Here is a 19,086-nt window from a genome sequence, read left to right as displayed (position 1 = left end):
TAGGATTCAGTTTCCAACCAACAGGCCTTCCGGCGCTGCCTAAGACAGAGACCATTCTGAAGTCAAATCTGTATTTCCACCAGAATCAGTCATCTGATTCTTTCAAATTCTCTATGAGCACGGTTGCAAAGCTCATGATGCTACATTTGAAACTAGACAAAGGCATTCTTCCCCTTACTGATGCTTTGTACCTTTCAAATTTATTCACTCAGCCAGCCCATACTGAGTACCTTCCATGTGTTAAGAACAAATGTAGGCAGATTGTTACATCCCTGGAGGGAAGTGAATATTATTCATTATGTATCCCATGCCTAGCAAAGCACCTGGCACATGAAAACAGACCCAAAAAGGTTTTATTGTCAAAGGAAAAGTTTGCTTCTCTAACAGCCATGGGCAAAGTAGATTTCAGCAGCCTCTCCTAGGGCCCTACCTGACCCTCAAGTTTCAGGGTACATGGAGCAAATGGGACTCTGAAGTCATAACTACCTGGACTGAAATCCTGCCCTACCCTTCTGACTAGGTTACCTAAAGCTAATTACTGTACCTGTGAAAGCCTTAGTTTCCTCTGCAGAATGGGATTAGTAATACCTGCCTCACAAAGTTATTAAAAGAATTAAATGTGAAAATACATGAAAATCATATGCAGAATACCCAGCACAAAATATAAAATAAATGTAACTGCATCTGGACAAATTTTACAACCATAAATTCCAGTGTACAAGAAACATAACTTATTTCCTATAACTCAATTTAATTTCTGACTTTGATCCTCCATTCTGCCCAATATGAAAAATAAAACTCAATTACATAGAAAAATAGAGTATTCTTCGTCCCTCTCTTCTCTAGAGTTGTCCCTAAATGGGATCCTGTGCGGGCCTCATCCTGTGCTGGACGGGGACACAACTTATCTCATTCAGTCCCTGGTGCAGACAACAGGCTTCTCAAATAGCTCCCGGAGTGAGATGTTGGCACACTCTGAGCAGAGACCGTCCCTGTCATATCTTTCCAACACACATCCCCCTGTGCTGGCTGGAAGAACCTTTGAGGTTTCAAGTGTACACTCTCAGCTCGTGTCTGTGCCCACTGGAAGGAGTCACATGAACTTTGGATGCTCTACAGTTCCAATGTGCACAGATCTTCAGGACTTGCCCCAGCCTAGACACACCTCAGTGCTGTTTCTACTATCCAGCAGTACTATCATGGCCCCGGGATTTCCTCCATGAGATCTGACAACTCCCTAAACCTCACCCAGGATGCCAGACACAAATCTTCTCTACTGTCATATTTCTAAATCAAATGGGGTGGAGGGGGTTATACTCCCACAACCCCAACGCTCAACTTGAGATGGATATTAAGAAGAGCAGGGAACAGGCACAGTGAGAGAGGTCTCTCTTGCATGCCTCGTCTACCTCTCTTCTCTCTTTTCCTGGTTAAAAGGTCTATATCTACTCAAAGACGAAAACTAGGATAAGGTAGGAGTGGGGGGAGGTGGGGAATTACAGGGAAGAATTCAATTATAGAGAATTATTCTGACTGTTCACATTTATTTCCTCAACCTTTGTTTCACTCTTCTGTTTTGCATTTAGAAGCTAAGAATTGGCACATTTTCTGCAATTTGCCCCGGACAACTCCTGTGGGGGTAACGGGCGCTAGGGATGGTTAGGGAAAAGTAAAAAGAACCAGAATATTAATCTAGTCATTAACCTCTGACATTATTAAGACAAAATTGGAACTTGGGTTCAGGTGTAGAAATCATTTGATTTGAGTAACTACAGGAAGAACCACGTGTGCAGCAAGTGCAGCCCCAAGAGATGTGGGGCTCCATGACTTTCAAGCAAAGCCTGCCGGGCTCAAGAAGGACAGAAGACCCAGGAGCTCCAGAGGGCAGGGGATTCAGAATAAGAGGACAAGCTCTGACCCAGTCCCTGAGCCAAGTGTGTCTATGGGTTCTAAAAGGCTTTCATTTTTCTTTTATCTCCCAGATGGCTTCTGCTTGCCTCCCTCATCTTGCAAATACTGAAATTTCTTTGGTATCTTCTTGACTTGGGGAGCAAATCAGCTGTGTGAGTCTTTTGCTATGCAGGAGCTCCCTGAATCACATATTCCAGGACTGTTAGCTGCTATTTATTTTTCATCTACAGATGGCTTCATAAAAGCCATTCTCCTTATTCTGAAAAAAGTCCAAGTGGTAGTTAGATATTAATTTAAGATGCAAATCAGGTTATGCAGGTGGCATAAAATAACAGCAGACTTTAAGAACCACAAATGAGGGGTGGAGCTGACACAGCACCATGCACTGGTTGATGGAAGCACAACTTTTTCCACCCGCTTTCCACAAGATCAACACCTCCACTGTGAGGCCGCTTTGCTCTTACCTGTAGACAACGTAAAGAAAATTCTAAAAACAATGCTGTCTCCTTAAATTCCTCTTCATTTCATGCTGCTTCCACGTTCTAGACCAGGGGTCAGCAAATTTTTCTGGAAAGGGTCAAACAGTAAGTATTTTCGGTGTAGGCCATATGGTCTCTGTTGCTACTCCTCATCTCTGCCAATGTAGTGTGAAAGTAGCCATAGACAATACGTAAACAAGTAAGCATGGTTGTGTTCCAATAAAACTTTATTTATAGACATTGAAACTTGAATTCCACATAATGTTCACATGAAATATTCTTTTTTTTCCCACCACTTGAAACTGTAAGAACTATTCTTTGCTCATACAAAGCAGACAGTGGAACAAAGCCCAGAGGCCATAGTTTGTTGACCTCTGTCTTAGATCATCTCAATTTAATAGGATAAATCTCAGTTCTAACAAGCAACTAATTCTGGTCCCAAGTAATACATAAAAGGAAACTTTATTAACCATTTCTTTTTGAGTTTTTGATATGGGAGGAGGGGGCTAGAGTTTACATATTTCTTTATAAATAATGCAAAATTATAAGATGAGCATCTAAAGTGCATAAAGCAAAATATTTTCAAGCACAACATATATAAGTGAAAACACTATTATATATTCATTTTTTAAAGTGTGACAAGGTCCCTATTTGGCATATTTTACTGGCCTATGTTGAATGGGCATGTATTCAGTCCAAAAACCTCTATTTCTTTCTGTAGTCTATAACCCAGAATTTTCATTAACTCATTCTGGCCTTACCACCACCACCCATTTTCAGTCTGAATGGGTAACTGGCCATACCCAAGGATTTTGTTCCAGAGCAACTGTTAAGGCACAACTTCATGGTTGACAATATACTTGAGCCTTCAACTAGTCCTCTCTGTGCTATGACTTTAGAAGCATTTCTCAAGGACACTCTATCCTCTTCCCAAAACCCTTTCCACTATGAGTAGGTATGTGGAAATGAAGTAGGCAATTATGTGATAAAACCTCACTTCAGTGTGGGGACTCCAGGACAAAGGGGTTTGTACATTACTTCCCAGGTATAGCCCAGGGGACCTGTACACCTTGCAGGAAGACCTCTAGTCCAGCTTGGTCCCCACAGCAGTGTGTGAGTGACGTATGGGGGTTCTTGCCCATATAAGCAAGAATAAGCCTTAGCTGAGCCTCACAAAGCACAGGGCCAGAGAAGATCTGGAAAATTCTGACCGGTTTCTACCCATCCCATCCCCCACGCCCACCAAGTTCCAAAAAAAAAAAAATGGCTCCAAAGCGACCAGTTGAGATCTCAGAGAGGTGTAAGGGCAAAGACCAAAGAACAAACTACAGTAATGACAAGGTAGCCCAGCGCAAACAGAGGGCAATCATGAACCACACTGTCCCCACGCGCACTGCCAGGCTGGAGATAAAACCCTAAGAGGTTAGCTCATCCTCTGAGGAGAAGTGATCATAGAAAAAAATTCCTAAATAACTAATATTTACCTAAAAATGCAGAATAAATGTACCTTAAATTGACAAGATTAATTTTTTTTTACAATTCAGGGTAATAAAGACTCAAAAATCCAATTAATTCAGAATAGTAGGAGTAACAGTGGTAGTAATGCAAGAGTAACAGTAGCAGTAGTAGTAACAATATAGTAGAAATACATAGTAACAGCAGCAGCATCAGTGGTGTGGTAGTAGTAATACAATAGTAGCTAGTGGTGGGGGTAGCAGTAATAGTAAAATACAGCTAATATTCACTGAGTACTTTCTATTTGCCAGGCCCTGTTTTAAGCATTTTACATAAAAGTACTCATTTAATCCTCACAACAACCCTTTGAGACAAGTATTTATATTCATTTTGCAGATGAGAAAACTCAGACACAAAAAGGAACAGCTTGAACAAGAAAAAGATTCAATGAATATTTGCTGAGCTGAAAAGTGGACACATTTATGAAATCAAACATAAGCAGGAAGTGGTACCCACACAAAATCAGCAAGGTGTGGGCATCCCAAAGTCACTGGCAAAGTTTCTTGGTGCTCTAGATTTGGAAGCCAGAGGGATTCAGCATTAGAGGAAGAACTTTGATTTTTTTAAAAAAAATTTAACTAAACAAAAGAGATAAGGATGGGAAACCATCAGAGGTTAAGTTGTTATCAACCTACCTGTGCGATCTAATCATTACCTCCATTCCTTCACATTAGTTCACAATGGATTCCTTTATTCTTCCTCTGATATAATGCCATTAACGATACCAACTTCCAAAAATGAGGTTTCTAGAGCCCCCGTTGTTTCTGCCGTTCTGCACTGCAAGCAGTGGGCAGAGCTGAGGAGTGAGGCAGCTGGCAGGGAGCAAATGTCATTGGGCCCAGATGGGCCAATGCTTTGAGACAGTGTTGGAGCCCACAGCTACTCCTGGTCCAGAAACTGCCCCCCAACAAGCCATGACCCCATCTCTTTGGTAATTTGATATCCTGTCATTTGATTGCATTTTTTCCATGCAAAAGTCCTTAGTGGTAAATATTTATTTTATAATTAAAGCGATTTTAAGTTTTAAAAACATGATGGTTTCCTACTTAGCCACAGGGAAGATTTGTCATCCCAATTAGGAAATGAAGTGATTCTTGAGTGTGCACAGAATCCAGCCTCCCTCTCTGAGAAGACCACACTGGGCCCTAGATAATCACGCCACCTAGCGGCACACTTGTTCTTCTGAGAACCTCCCTCAATCTGAAATGAGGGTGCCCAGCCATCAGTTAAATTATTCCATCTCACAGCCTATGAATTTCAATAAATATACCATCTGTTCACCTTCTGTGTGGGAGTTCAATCATCTTCTTGGCAGCAGGATTATTCTACAGCAATTACCTATGTCTTTATCACCTCTCATTGAGCTGCAGCAGCCATCTCTGTAAAACCAAAAAGTTTTAAACCACAGTTGCTGCAGATAGGACGGTCTTATGTCTAGAACACAAAAAAGATGTCTACACTTGATTTGGGGGGCAGGGGGTGGGTACGGAGAGAGAACCGAGAACCTAATGAACAGGCTTTTTTTTTTTTTTTTAATTTCGAGACAGAGTTTCGTTCTTGTTGCCCAGGCCGGAGTGCAATGGCGCAATCTCTGCTCACTGCAACCTCAGCCTCCCGGGCTCAAGCGATTCTCCTTCCATGGCCTCCTGAGTAGCTGGGATTACAGGCACCTGCCACAATGCCCGGCTAATTTTTTGTATTTTTAGTAGAGATGGGGTTTTACCATGTTGGTCAGGCTGGTCTCGAACTCCTGACCTCAGGTAATCTGCCCGCCTTGGCCTCCCAAAGTGCTGGGATTACAGGCATGAGCCACCATGCCAGCCAGGCCTTTTTTTCCTGAGCTGTGGGGTAGAACTGAGGAGCCTTCTCCTTAGACTGCCAGGTTTTGATGTGTTGAGGTAACAAGATTTGCAAAAGAAAAAGGCCACCGCTGAGAGAGGAGCCACAGGCTCTCAGATGCGGAATCAGAAGATGCAGAATCGGGGGACATGGGACCTACCTCCAGCTCTGCCACCATGTGCACAATCAAGTTGCCTGAGCCTCAGTTTCCTCTTCTGTAAAATGGGGAGGTTGGAATGGTGACCACTGAACTTCCCTTTGGCTCTGAAATCATAAGATTCTAGTGGATGGAAAATGGGAGCCTACAGTGCAGCCCACGCCCAGATGTACCACTGATTTGCTGAGCTTCACTGAGTTGCTAAGTAAAATTACAGCTAAAAAAAGAAAACGTCACAAGCACCCAAGTGATTTGAATGCTTTTTAAATCTGGATTATTATTAATGATTCTTTTTGCACAGTATATGAGAGGAGGAAACAAAGGCTTGATGAGGTTAATTTGCTCCAGGTCACCCCCTAGAAAATGGGGAAGCTGAAACTTAACTTATGCCATTTGGTTCCAAAGTCTAAGCTCTTATACAGTGCCATATTGGAAGGCTTCACATAAAAGCAGAATTTCAGGACAATATCTAAAATCAAAGAAGGAATGAAAGGCATTTCAGAGGAAAGCATAAACGTACAAGTCATAAATACCCAGCGTTAACTTTATATTGGTTTAGTACCAGCTGCTTGTCATCCAATTATGTATCCAAACAGCCTGGCTATGGCCATAACAATGCTGTGTGCTCCCCAAACCACATTCACTTTCTTTCTGGGCACATAAGAACACGAAGTTTCCCAGTATCTCTTCTGGTAAGATCAAGAACAGGAACTGGGTTCCAGTTAATGGGAAGTGTGCAGGAATTCTCTACACCACATGAGTGTCGCTATAACGGCCTGTTTTATACTCTTTTCCTCCTATTGATGCCCTGGAAGTGAAGGACTCCAGTACAGCAGGACCACACCTGAGTCACCACACTGAGGAAGGCTTGTGGAAGGCGGCCCCACCTGCACTGGACCGTGGCAAAGGGAAGGAAAAAAAAAAACCGTTTATTCTGTATTTTACTGAGATGTGGGGGTTGTTTGTTACAGCCACTACCAACCAAGCCTGGCCAATGGGAACAGTAATGGTGCCTTAGTTTTCTTGCCGGCCCGGTATCTAATCCCCTTTCTTCTGAATGCAGTCCTCAATTCCCCTTCTCCAGCACTCTGATGTACCTGAACTTCAGTCCACATGGTTCAGAAAGGGATGTCACCACCCCCCATCGGTTCTAAAGCCTCTTGGTCCCCACATCAGCCAAATGAGAGTCAATCCTGAGACTTTTTACTGGAACTATTGTGAAAGGGAAACTCTTTTTCCACTGGGAAGGCCAAGCTGGGGATACAAGTCTGGAGCAGCAGGCAGGTCACCACGGAGGAGAGTCAGCCCTGGAACAAAATTAGCAAAGGGAGCAACAGAGCCATGAGAGGGCTGGGGTGAGGAAGAATAAATGGGGGAAGGAGAAAGAATGGAAGGCAGAGCATGAGAGAAAATGGAGGCCAAGGGTGGCCAGGGGAGCAGTGGGGACAAAGCGAGGGCAAAGAGAGAAAGGAGCATGAGGTGTGAAGGAGAGGAGGCAGACGGGGCGAGAGTAGCAGCTAGAGGTGGAGGGAGAGAGAAATCAAGGGGATGGAAAGAGAGATTAGCAAGCAATGGAGAGAGGGGCCAGGGTGGTGTGAGGAAGGTAGAGTCAGAGAGACGGAGGGTCAGGGGAAAGATGCGAGGAAGAAGCGAGAGAGAAGGGAGGAAGAGGAGAGGTTTATGGTGGGAGGATGCAGGGCGAAGGAGAAGGGGCAGAGATGCAGAAAGGGGAGTAAGTGGAGAGAAAAGGAGAAAAGGAAGGGAAGGAGGGAGGCAGGGAAGTGAGATCTTCCTTTGAATGCTTCAGTCCAGCCAAACCCAGTCAGCCTCGCCCCTGGATGAGTCAATAAATTCTTTTGCATTTATCATTTTAATTAGGGTCCTGCCATTTGCTGTAGGGAATTTTCTTATATTTTCCAAAACAACCTTTAAAATAGATGAAAGCAACATATGTGTCAAAACATGGACACATAATTATATAACACAGCCAGCAAGAACTGACTACCTTCTACCAAAATAAGAACTTTCAACCTTCAGAGCATCTCTACTACCTTATCCTTTTAGACTTTACCAGCTGACTTATTCAGTAGGATCCTAGCCTAAGGTTATACACTATTATATTTTCTGGCTTCATTCTTTTCCCTATCACTCCTTTTATCTTGTTCTCTGTTCTAATAAGTTGTTCTACCTTTATCACCTTTTCCTGATGCAAACTGCCTTGTTTCTGTCTTTTGCATGATCATTTAGAATTCTGGAAGGGTCCCAGCTGTTGGTCCCTCCAGCCCTACTTGTCCTCTCAGTGCTGCAGCGGCAGCTATTCAGGCTCATTATCTTGATCCCACAGGCCACCAGCTTGAGCTGCTGCTGCTGAAATCATCCAACATGAGTCAACAGTGAGCTGAAATGCATTGTTCTGAATCTCCCTAATGTCACATTCTCAATAGCAACAGCAATAAACAATTGGCTTGAAATGTGAATCAATGCTCAAGTTTGCAAGGGGAAAAAAAAAACAGGTGAAGACGTGCTTGCCACAAAAGCAAGAGAGAGATGGATAAATTGTGTGTGTGTGTGTGTGTGTGTGTGTGTGCGCGTGTGTGTATGCACGTGCACACATGTCCTGGAAGGTGGACCAAAAGATAAATTAAAGGATTCAGTTCTCAAATGCTCATCAAGGAATAAAACACTCTGGCTTTCTCTAGAGCCAAAAGAAAAATGAAGTGATTAGTGGAATTTTAAAAGGCAAAAGAAGCAAAGTACCTTAGCCAAAAGCCAAGGGAGCACTCACACACACTGGAGACAAACGTCACCTCCTTTCTTGTAACTGAAAGCACCTGAACTGAAGTTAGCAACAGAGAGTCTCTGCACTCCAGGGACTTATATTTATTTCCCCAGAATATTTCATATTTATTCAAGCTAAATAATATGTATGACATCTGGGAACAAAGTCTTTTCAAAGAGAAAAATCAACCCAGCCATGCTAATTTTCCTCATTCACCAGCCAACCCCCACATGCAGGAAGCCAGCCCTCTCCCATTCACTCACAGAACCACAGCTATGAAACTGTTCAATACAATCCCAGAGGCTTGGTTTTCCTTAGCTACCCTTATTTACTAACGTATTTACTAACATACGCAATTTACTAACATACACAATTTCTGTCATTGGTGGCCTCAGTTTCTCATATATCAATGAATTTCAAGACTCTATAAAAATCTAGATGCATATAAAAAGATACTGCAGCAAAAGAAGCTCAAAAGAGCTTCTTTTAAAAAGAAGTAAAAATTGTTTGTTCTATAGAAGTAAAAATTGTATAGTGTTTTTTTTTTTTTTTGTCATGAAGGAAACATTCTTGACTATATTTAAGACCACCCAACTACCTGTATCTGGAACTCAGGGACAAATATAGCCCCTCCACTTTGGTTGGGTCAGTGAACCTGAATCCTTGTCCCTCTCACTAACCTGTGAAATGAGATGGGCAACTTGAAGGGAAACCCAAAGCGCCTTCTCAACAATTCCCAGGGGCCTGCCCCATATCCAAAGCTCTGGGAACTCCCCTGGCCCCTCTTTTGTCCAGGGTGGCAGTCCTCCCTCCAACAACCAACCCAAACTACCCACAGCCCAGAAGCTCCCAGCCTTTCTTACTGTTTTCACTTCCACCAATGTACCCACACAGTCTTGAACATCTGAAACTAAAAGTGAAAGGAGGAAGAAAGGCTTGCTCATGATCCTCCTAACCCAGGGTAGAGCAATATCCTGCCTCTTCGTGATCTTTCTCGACTTATAAAAGGTTATTCTTATTTACCGAATCTGGCCTGATTGTATGTCCCCAGTGGCTGTGACAAAGACTGCCTCCTTTGATCAAAACTTGTATCCAGCCCCTCTGAGTCCTCTGCTTGACTAGGCTGACCTTGGGGTTCTCTCTCTGTCCTTGCTGAATCCAGTTTGAGAAAAAATACTGCTAAATGAGTGTCTTAGTCTGTTTTGTGTTGGTATAAAGGAATGCTGAGGCTGGGTAATTTATAAAGAAAAGAGAGTTATTTAGCTCACGATTCTGCAAGCTGGAAGGTTCATGATGGTGCATTGAGGGAGGGCCTCAGACTGCTTCCACTCAGAGTGGAAGATGAAAGGGAGTTTGCCTGTGCAGAGGGTACATGAGTGGAGAAGAAGTGAGCAAGACAGAGAGACAGAAAGGAGGGGAGGGGAGAGAGAGAGAGGGAGGGAGACAGAGAGAGAGAGAGAGGGAGCAAGAGCGAGCAGAGGGAAGTACCAGGATCTTTTTAACAAACAGCTTTTGCAGGAACTAATAGAGAAAGAACTCACTCATCTGCCCTCCAGAGAGGGCATTAATGGAGTCATGAGGGATCCATTCCCTTGACCCAAACGTCTCCCATTACAGCCCCACCTCCAACATTGAAATCAGATTTCAACATGAGGTTTAGGGGGACAAACACCTAAACTATAGCAGTCAGTTTAGGGAAAATGTCCCCAACCTTGGCATCTGACCACCCTCCAGTATCTTATAAACCTGGCCTCCCTTCAGCAATAATTATAACAATTTGGCTTAGCCAGTAACCCCTTATCTTTGAAGTTTCCTCTTAATAATTTTCCATCCACTGACCCCTACCCTGCTCAGTGGTTATAAACCCCCACTTGTCCTTGTTGGAGTCAGAGTTGAGTCCAGGCTCTCTCCTCCACTGCAAGACCCTATGGCAGTGGTCCCTGCAACTATCACCATGCCTCCCTTGAATAAAGTCTGCCTTACCAACTTTACCAAGTTTTTGAATCTTTTTTTTCTTTAACAGCTCTAAATACCTTATTTTATGCAATGACTATTATGACCTTTTCTGGGCCTCCTACAGTGAATGTGATCCTAAGTCCTTGTACCAATACCAGCGCAAAACCTAAATGTGACAGAGGATTACAAGATGTGGAGTTATAGAGAGATAGCTATTAGTTTTATCCTCATCATTGTACCTTTTTAGAAAAAAATAGATATATCTTGTTTTATTATGCTTTCATTCATTGCACTTCACAGATATTGCTTTTTTTTTTTTTTTTTTACAAATTGAAGGTTGTTGGCAACCCTGCATTGCGCAAGTGTATCAGCACAATATTTCCAACAGCACATGCCTCACTTTGTGTCTCTGTCACATTTTTGTAATTCACACAATAATTTCAAACCCTTACATTATTATTACATCTGTCATGGTGATCTGTGATCAGTGACTTTTGATGTTAATATTGTAATTGTTTTGGGTGCCACAAACTGCACCCATATAAGACAGTAAGCTTAATCAATAATTGCTGTGTGTTTTCTGACTACTCCCTTGACCAGTCATTCCCCCACATCTCTCCCTTTTCTTGGACTTAGTTATTCCCTGAGACACAACATTATTGAAATTAGGCCAATTAAGCTGGGCATGGTGGCTCATGCCTGTAATCCCAGCACTTTGGGAGACCAAGGCGGGCAGATCTCTTGAGATCAGGAGTTTGAGACCAGCCTGGCCAATATGGCAAAACCCTGTCTCTACTAAAAATATAAAAATTAGCCAGGCATGGTGGCGTGCACCTGTAATCCCAGCTACTCGGGAGGCTGAGGCAGGAGAATCGTTAGAACGTGGGAGACGGAGGTTGCAGTGAGCCAAGATCACGCCACTGCACTGGGTGACAGAGTGAGATTCCGTCTCAAAAAAAAAAAAAAAAAGAAAAGAAAAGAAATTAGGCCAATTAATAACCTTACAATGGCCTGTAAGTGTTCAAGTGGAAGGAATTGTCACAGATATCTCACTTTAAATCAAAAGATAAAAATGATAAAGCTGAGTGAGAAAAGCATGTGAAAAGCCAAGACGGTAAAAGCTAGGCCTCTTGCACCAAAGAGTTAGCCAAGTTGTGAATGCAAAGGAGAAGTCCTTGAAGGAAACTAAAATTGCTACTTCAGTGAACACAGGCATGGTAAGAAAGCAAAACAGCCTTACTGCTGATATGAAGAATGTTTTAGTGGTCTGGATAGAAGATCAAACTAACCACAACATTTGCTCAAGCCAAAGCCTAATCATGAGCAAGGCCCGAACTCTCTTCAATTCTATGAAGGCTGAGAGGTGCAGAAGGAAGCTGCAGAAGAAAACTTGGAAGCTCACTGAGGTTGGTTCATGAGGTTTAAGGAAAGAAGCCATCTCCATAATATAAAAGTGCAAGGCAAAGCAGCAAGTGCTGATGTAGAAGCTGCAGCAATTTATCCTGAAGATCTGGCTAAGATCATTAATGAAGCTGGTTATACCAAACAACAGATTTTCCATGTACACAAAACAGCCTTCTATTGGAAGATATCATCTAGGACTTTCATGGCTAGAGAGGAGAAATCAACGCCTGGCTTCAAGGCTTCAATGGACATGCTGACTCTCTTGGTTGGTCCTAATGTAGCTGGTGACTAAATTGAAGCCAGTGCTCACTGGCCATTCTGAAAATGCTAGGACCCCTAAGAACTATGCTCAGTGTACTCTGCCTGTGCTCTAGAAATAAAACAACAAAGCCTGGATGACAGCATATCTGTTTATAGAATGGTTTACTAAATATTGTAAGCCCAGTGTTGAGATCTACTGCTCAGAAAAAGATTCCTTTCAAAATATTACTGCTCACTGATAGTACACCTTGTCACCCAAGAGCTCTGATAGAGATGTGTAAGGAGATCAACGTTATTTACATGCTTGCTAACACAACATCCACTCTGCAGCCCACTGATCAAGGAGGAATTTCAATTTTCAAGTATTATTATTTAAGAAATACATTTCATGGCCGGGCGCAGTGGCTCACGCCTGTAATCCCAGCTCTCAGGGAGGCAAGAGGCGGGAGGATAGCTTGAGCCCAGGAGTTCGAGACCTGCCTGGGCAATATAGCAAGACCCCGTTCTCCATAAAAAGGAAAAAAAAAAAAAGACAAAAAAAAAAAAAAAGACAAAAAAAAAATAAGCGTAACTCCCCTTAAAGAAATGCATTTCATAAGGCTACTGCTACCATATTAAAACCTTCTGGAAAGGATTCACTAAATGTCATTAAGAACATTTGTGATTCATGGGAGGAGGCCAAAATATCAACATTAACAGAAGTTTGGAAGAAGTTGATTTCAACCCTTATGAATGACTTTTGAGGGGCTCAAGACTTCAGTAGGGATGTAACTGCAGTGGAAATAGCACGAGAACTGGAATTAGACGTGGAGCCTAAAGATCTGAATGAATTGATGCAATCTTATGGTCAAACTTGAATGAATGAAGAAGTGCTTCTTACAGATGAGCAGATGAGCAAAGTGGTTTCTTAAGACAGAATCTACTCCTGGTGAAGACGCTGTGGACACGGCTGAAGTGACAACAAACGATTTAGAATAATACAAAAGCTTAGTTGATAAAGAAGTGGCAAGGTTCGAGAGGATTGACTCTAGTTTTGAAAAGAGTTCCACTGTGGGTAAAATGCTATCAAACAGCATCACATGCTACAGAGAAATCTTTTGTGAAAAGAAGAGTCAATCAATGCAGCAAACTTCATTGCTGTCTTATTTTAAAAAATTGCCACAGCCAGCCAGGTGCGGTGGCTCACGCCTGTAATCCCAGCACTTTGAAAGGCCGAGGCAGGCGGATCACGAGGTCAGGAGATCGAGACCATCCTGGCCAACATGGTGAAACTCCATCTCTACTAAAAATACAAAAAATTAGCTGGGCGTGGTGGTGGGCGCCTCTAGTCCCAGCTACTCAGGAGGCTGAGGCAGGAGAATGGCATGAACCCAGGAGGCAGAACTTGCAGTGAGCCAAGATCGCTCCACTGCACTCCAGCCTGGGCGACAGAGCAAGACTCTGTCTCCAAAAAAAAAAAAAAAAATTGCCACAGCCTCCTCAACCTTCAATAACCACCACCCTGATCATTCAGCAGCCATCAACATCGAAGCAAAACCCTCAAGCAAAAAGATTATGGCTCACTGAAGACTTAGATGACTGTTGGTATTTTTTAGCTATAAAATATTTTTTATTAAGGTATGTACTTCTTAAGGCATCACTTTATTGCACACTTAATAGATTACATAATAGTGTAAACATAACTTTTATACGCACTGAGAAACCAAAAAATGTATGTGACTCATTCAATTGAGATATTTGCTTTATTTTGGTGTCTAGAACCAAACCTGCAATATCTCCAAAGTAAGCCTGTAAATAGAAATAATATCTATCAAGTAAGACATTCTAAAACAGGATTCTGTATGTTTTCTAAATGTCTCCTTGCTTTGTCAAACCCCCAATGACCACTTATTAAACATTTATCTGACTATATGTGCAAGGATTCATCCACCCACAAATGTTAATGCTAGGCAGAATTCACCTTCAGTGTTCCCTGAATGCCACAAGAGAATGTTCAGCCAGTCCTTGTTACCTCAGTAATCATCATCATCATCATCATCATCATCATCATATCTGCCATGCACTTTACATAAATAAATTTAATCCTCACAAAAACACTCCATGGCCAAGGGAGGTAATTATCTACCCTCTCTCCCTTTTTAGATAAAGAAACTGAGGCAAAGAAAAAGTAAGTTACTCACCCAACATTCTAAAACCAGCTGAATCAAGTTTAGAATCCAAGAGTCTGGTTCAAGAGCCCATGATCTTACTCTCTACTCCACTACCTCCTTGTGTCCATTTGAAATAAGGTATCTGTTTACACAGTATTAGACAGATAATGAAATTGTGATGATACTTTCTGAAGCAACAGCACCTAAGAAGGAAGGAAAGCTGGATGTGACTCAGTCAAATAAATCAGTAGAGGTTATTTTGCTCAGATCTTTCATGGGAAAAATCATTCCATTACGTTTATGGCCCCATGTCAAAAGAGCACAATTTGGCTTTATTTCCTGGAGTCCTCTGGTTTTTAGTGGGTCCCAAAAGAGAGAAATCTTCTGGAGACTTTTCAATGCTGTACAAAACCACCGATCACATTTATTGACTTTCTGCCCTACAAACAGTGGGAAGAGTGACTTCATCCCCCAATCAACATAACAGATCTTGACACTGCATGAGCAAAAGCTTTTTGCACTCCAAAAAAGCAATTATTTTCTGTGGAAAAAAAAGTCAGCTTCTTAGGCATAATGAACCCACCTATTAATCTTGTCCTGCTACTCCTGCTAATTTTGGAAACAGGAAAGTAGTCACGCCTTGTTGCTCTCGAATTTAAAAACAGGGCACATCATCAAAAACAAAGAACTTTTCAACTTTGTCCTTCAACTGGTCAGGCTTTCTTGCAAGTGGCAACTTCCAATCAGTGGAGAAGAGAAGCTGTTTATCACTTTAAACCTAGATTTTTTCATTGTAGGATATATGCATATCATTGACTGAAGCACAGTGCCTTTAGTAATACAGAAGGTACTTCCTTAATTAGTTGAAGATCTGTGTTTAAGAAAGGAGGCGACGTAATAATTAACTTACTTTTGATCACTTCTAACAATCTTTAATATTAATAAAGGAAGCCTGAAGAGTTTTCTTTTTTATGTTTTTACAAGACTTATTGCTGATGAATGGATTGCTGGGTAGCTCATCAACCCAGATAACTAGTTATATACTTCCTTCTCATAGTTACTGAAAATCTACCTGCTATTATTGAAAAATAGTCCTGAGATTTCAATTTGGAGAAAAGGTAGGTGCAGAAAAACAAAGGCCACTGATGGGTGTGTAGTTGTAGAGGATACAGGAGTGGCAGTGAAATCCAAAGGATGCTGATATGGTTTGCCTGTGTCCCCACCCAAAACCTCATCTTGAATTGTAATCTCCATAATCCCCACATGTCAAGGGTGGGACCAGGTGGAGGTAATCGGATCATGGGAGCAGTTTCCCCCATGCTGTTCTCATGATAGTTAGTGAGTCTCAAAACATCTGATGGTTTTATAAGCATCTGGCATTTCTCCTGCTTGCACTCATGCCATCCTGCCACCCTGTGAAGAAGGTGCCTGCTTTCCGCCATGATTGTAAGTTTCTTAGGGTCTTCTCAGCAATGTGGAATTGTGAGTCAGTTAAATCTCTTTCCTTTATAAAACAGCCAGACCCAGGTATTTCTTCACAGCAGTGTAAGAACAGACTAATACAGTAAATTGGTACCAAGAGTGGGGTACTACTACAAGGATATCCAAAAATGTGGAAGCAAATTTGGAACTGGATAACAGGCATAGGATGGAACAGTTTGGAGGGCTCAGATGACAGAAAAATGTAGGAGAGTTTGGAACTTCCTAGAGACTTGTTGAATGGCTTTGACCAAAATGCTGATAGTGATATGGACAATGAAGTCCAGGCTAAGGTGGTCCCAGATGGAGATGAGGAACTTGTTGGGAACTGGAGTAAAGGTCGCTCTTGGTATGCTTTAGCAAAGAGATTGGTGGCATTTTGCCTCTGCCCTAGAGATCTGTGGAACTATAAACTTGAGAAAAATGATAGTGGGTATCTGGTAGAATAAATTTCTAAGCAGTAAAGTGTTCAAGGGGAAGCAGAGCAAAAACATTTGAAAAATTTGCAGTCCAATGATGTGACAGAAAAGAAAAACCTATTTTCTGGGAAGAAATTCAAGCCAGCTGCAGAAATTTGCATAAGTAATGAGAAGCCAAATATTAATCACCAAGGCAATGGAGAAAATGTCTCCAGGGCATGTCAGAGACCTTCCTGGCAGCCCCTCCCATCACAGGCCTGGAAGTCTAGGAGGGAAAAATGGATTCCTGGGCCTGTCCCAGTGCTCCCCTGCTCTGTGCAGCCTCAGGACATTGTGCCCAGCATCCCAGCTGCTTCATCTCCAGCCATGGCTAAAAGGGACAAAGGTACAGCTCAGACCATTGCTTCAGAGGGTGCAAGTCCCACGCCACCTTGGATGTGAGACATGGAGTCAAAGGAGATCATTTTGGAACTTTAAGATTTCATGACTGGCCTATTGGATTTCAGACTTGCATAGAGCCTGAAGCCCCTTTGTTTTTGCCAATGTATCTTATTTGGAACAGGTGTATTTACCCAATGCCTGTACTCCCATTGTATCTAGAAAGTAACTAACTTGCTTTCAATTTTACAGGCTCATAGGCAGAAGGGACTTGCCTTGTCTCAGATGAGACTTTGGACTTGGACTTTTGGGTTAATGCTGGAATGAGCTAAGATCTGGGGGAACAGTTAGAAAGGCATGATCGTGTTTTGAAATGTGAGAACATGAGATATGGGAGGGGCTGGGGAGGAATGATATTGTTTGGTTTGGTCCTCACCCAAAATCTCATCTTGAATTGTAATCTCTGTAATCCCCATGTGTTAAGGGCAAGACTAGGTGGAGGTAAATGGATCATGAGGGTAGTTTCTCCCATGCTGTTCTCATAATAGTGAATGAGTCTCACCAGATCTGATGGTTTTCTAAGCATCTGGCATTTCTCCTGCTTGCATTCATTCTGTCCTGCTGCCCTGTGAAGAAGTCTTGGGTATTTCTTCATAGCAGTGTAAGAACAGACTAATACAGATGCTTTGAAAATGTGGAAAGAATAGTGATATTAAAATTAACTATAAATTACTTATCATGTAATTTTTTTTAATAGTGCAATCCTGTACTCTCTTGTTTATTATCCTTTGTTCATTCTATTTTTATAATTGGGAGGATAGTATATGGCACAATGTCTGCCATATGAGGGTGATTTAATTAGACCTGTATTTTTAAAAGGATCACTTTGGCTGCTATGTGGAGACTAATTAGAAGGAAGTAATACCTGAGTTCAGAACAGTTCAGAACAAAAACAGATTCGAAGCTGTTTCATTAATTCAATATAATGGCATGCCAGAAGAATGCAAATGGACATAGAAGGAAGAGGATGAATTTGGGAAAAGTATGCAGGCAGTAGCATGGTCAGAAATCATGGACTGGATGTGGGAATGAGAAAAAGTAAGGAGTTAAGGTTTCTGGCTTAGTGGATGTTACTGGTATATTCTCAAAAGGGGAATACTAGTGGAGGAGGGGGACTGTAGAAGAAGATGATAAACACATTTTGGACATGTTGAAGTTGAGGTACCCGTAAGACATTTAAGTAGACATGAGACAAAAGTGACTGGATATATACTGTCACCCCTAAAGCCCAGGCAACAAATATTTGTCAATCTACTGTCAACACTGGACTAAACACTGGGAATGGAACAGTGAAAAAGCTATACATCACCATAGCCATTGTGGAACTTAGAGTCTAGGTGAAGAGAAGGGCATTCAACAACTAGTCACCCAAATGCAAAAAATTGAAGCCATGAAAATGAAGTGTTTCAAAATGGGCAAGGGCTAATTACATCAAATGATGCTTAGAGATGCAGAGGATATTAACAGAGCCATCTATTGGATTTGATAACAAGGATGACACTGGTATCATGACAAGAGCTGCCTCAATGGAATACCAAAACGGAAGCCAGATAAAAGTGAGTTGAAAAGAAAACTGTACAGTGAGGAAGTAGAGACCATGACTATAGGACTTTTATTCAAAAGGTTTTGCTGAGAAGGGGAGCAGCCAAATGGAGCACTGGCTAGAAAGGGACATAAATGTCAAGGGAGAGTGATTTCAGATTTAAGATGGAAGACTGCAAAGCACATTTGTATGTTACTGGAAATATTCCAGCAGAAAGGGAGAAAGTGATTATGTTAAGAAAGGGAACTTTGCAAGAGCCAAGTCAATAAGACCAGAAAAATATAATAAAAACACAAACATTTTTCTTTGGGGAGGTAGTGATGGAAGAGAGCACCAGGGGGGCTTCATGGATGCAAATAATGTTCTGTTTTTTGATCTAGGTGCTAGTCAAATAAATTTGTTCATTTTGTGAAGATGTATCAAGAGGTGACCTTATGATGTGTGCTCTTTCCTGTATGTATGCTACATGTCAATCAAGTTGTTTAAAAGTAGAAGGATTAGAAAAAAGAAAACAAAAACCATCATTTTTGCAAGTGTTATGATTGCCTATAAAGAAAACCCTGACAAATTTATAAATCATTATAAATAAAAATTTCACAAACTGGCTGCCTATAAGAATAATACACAAGTCAACAGTACCACAACAAAAAAAGTTCAATTTTTAATACACTATTTACAATAGAAACAAAAACCATAAAATATCTAGTAAAAAATTAACAAAATATGTATTTAACCTATAAGCAGAAAATTGTGAAA

The 19,086-nt window shown here is 41.7% G+C and overlaps 1 protein-coding gene across 12 annotated transcripts in view; it reads right to left on the bottom strand.

The window, feature by feature from the left end:
* Positions 1 to 19,086, bottom strand: part of SYT16 (synaptotagmin 16) — a 300,664-nt gene that overhangs the window by 213,095 nt on the left and 68,483 nt on the right. For 3 of the 12 annotated variants that reach the window (NM_001367661.1, NM_001367659.1, NM_001367657.1), the window contains exon 2: positions 14,482 to 14,654. The exons of 7 other annotated variants lie outside the window; for them this stretch is intronic. Coding sequence is in view for 3 of the 5 variants with exons in the window: in NM_001367659.1 (NP_001354588.1) it covers positions 14,482 to 14,488 (7 nt within the window). In the remaining 2 variants the exon portion in view is untranslated. Of the gene's footprint in view, positions 1 to 5,186; positions 9,387 to 14,481; positions 14,655 to 15,034; positions 17,318 to 19,086 lie in introns of those variants that run through there. 2 more of the 12 variants (XM_047431804.1, XM_024449730.2) reach the window with 2 other exon arrangements.

Source organism: Homo sapiens, chromosome 14, assembly GCF_000001405.40.
Source record: "Homo sapiens chromosome 14, GRCh38.p14 Primary Assembly".
Classification (NCBI taxonomy): domain Eukaryota; kingdom Metazoa; phylum Chordata; class Mammalia; order Primates; family Hominidae; genus Homo; species Homo sapiens.
The sequence above is the reverse complement of the archived record's forward strand: the minus strand, read 5'-3'. Positions and strand labels throughout refer to the sequence as shown.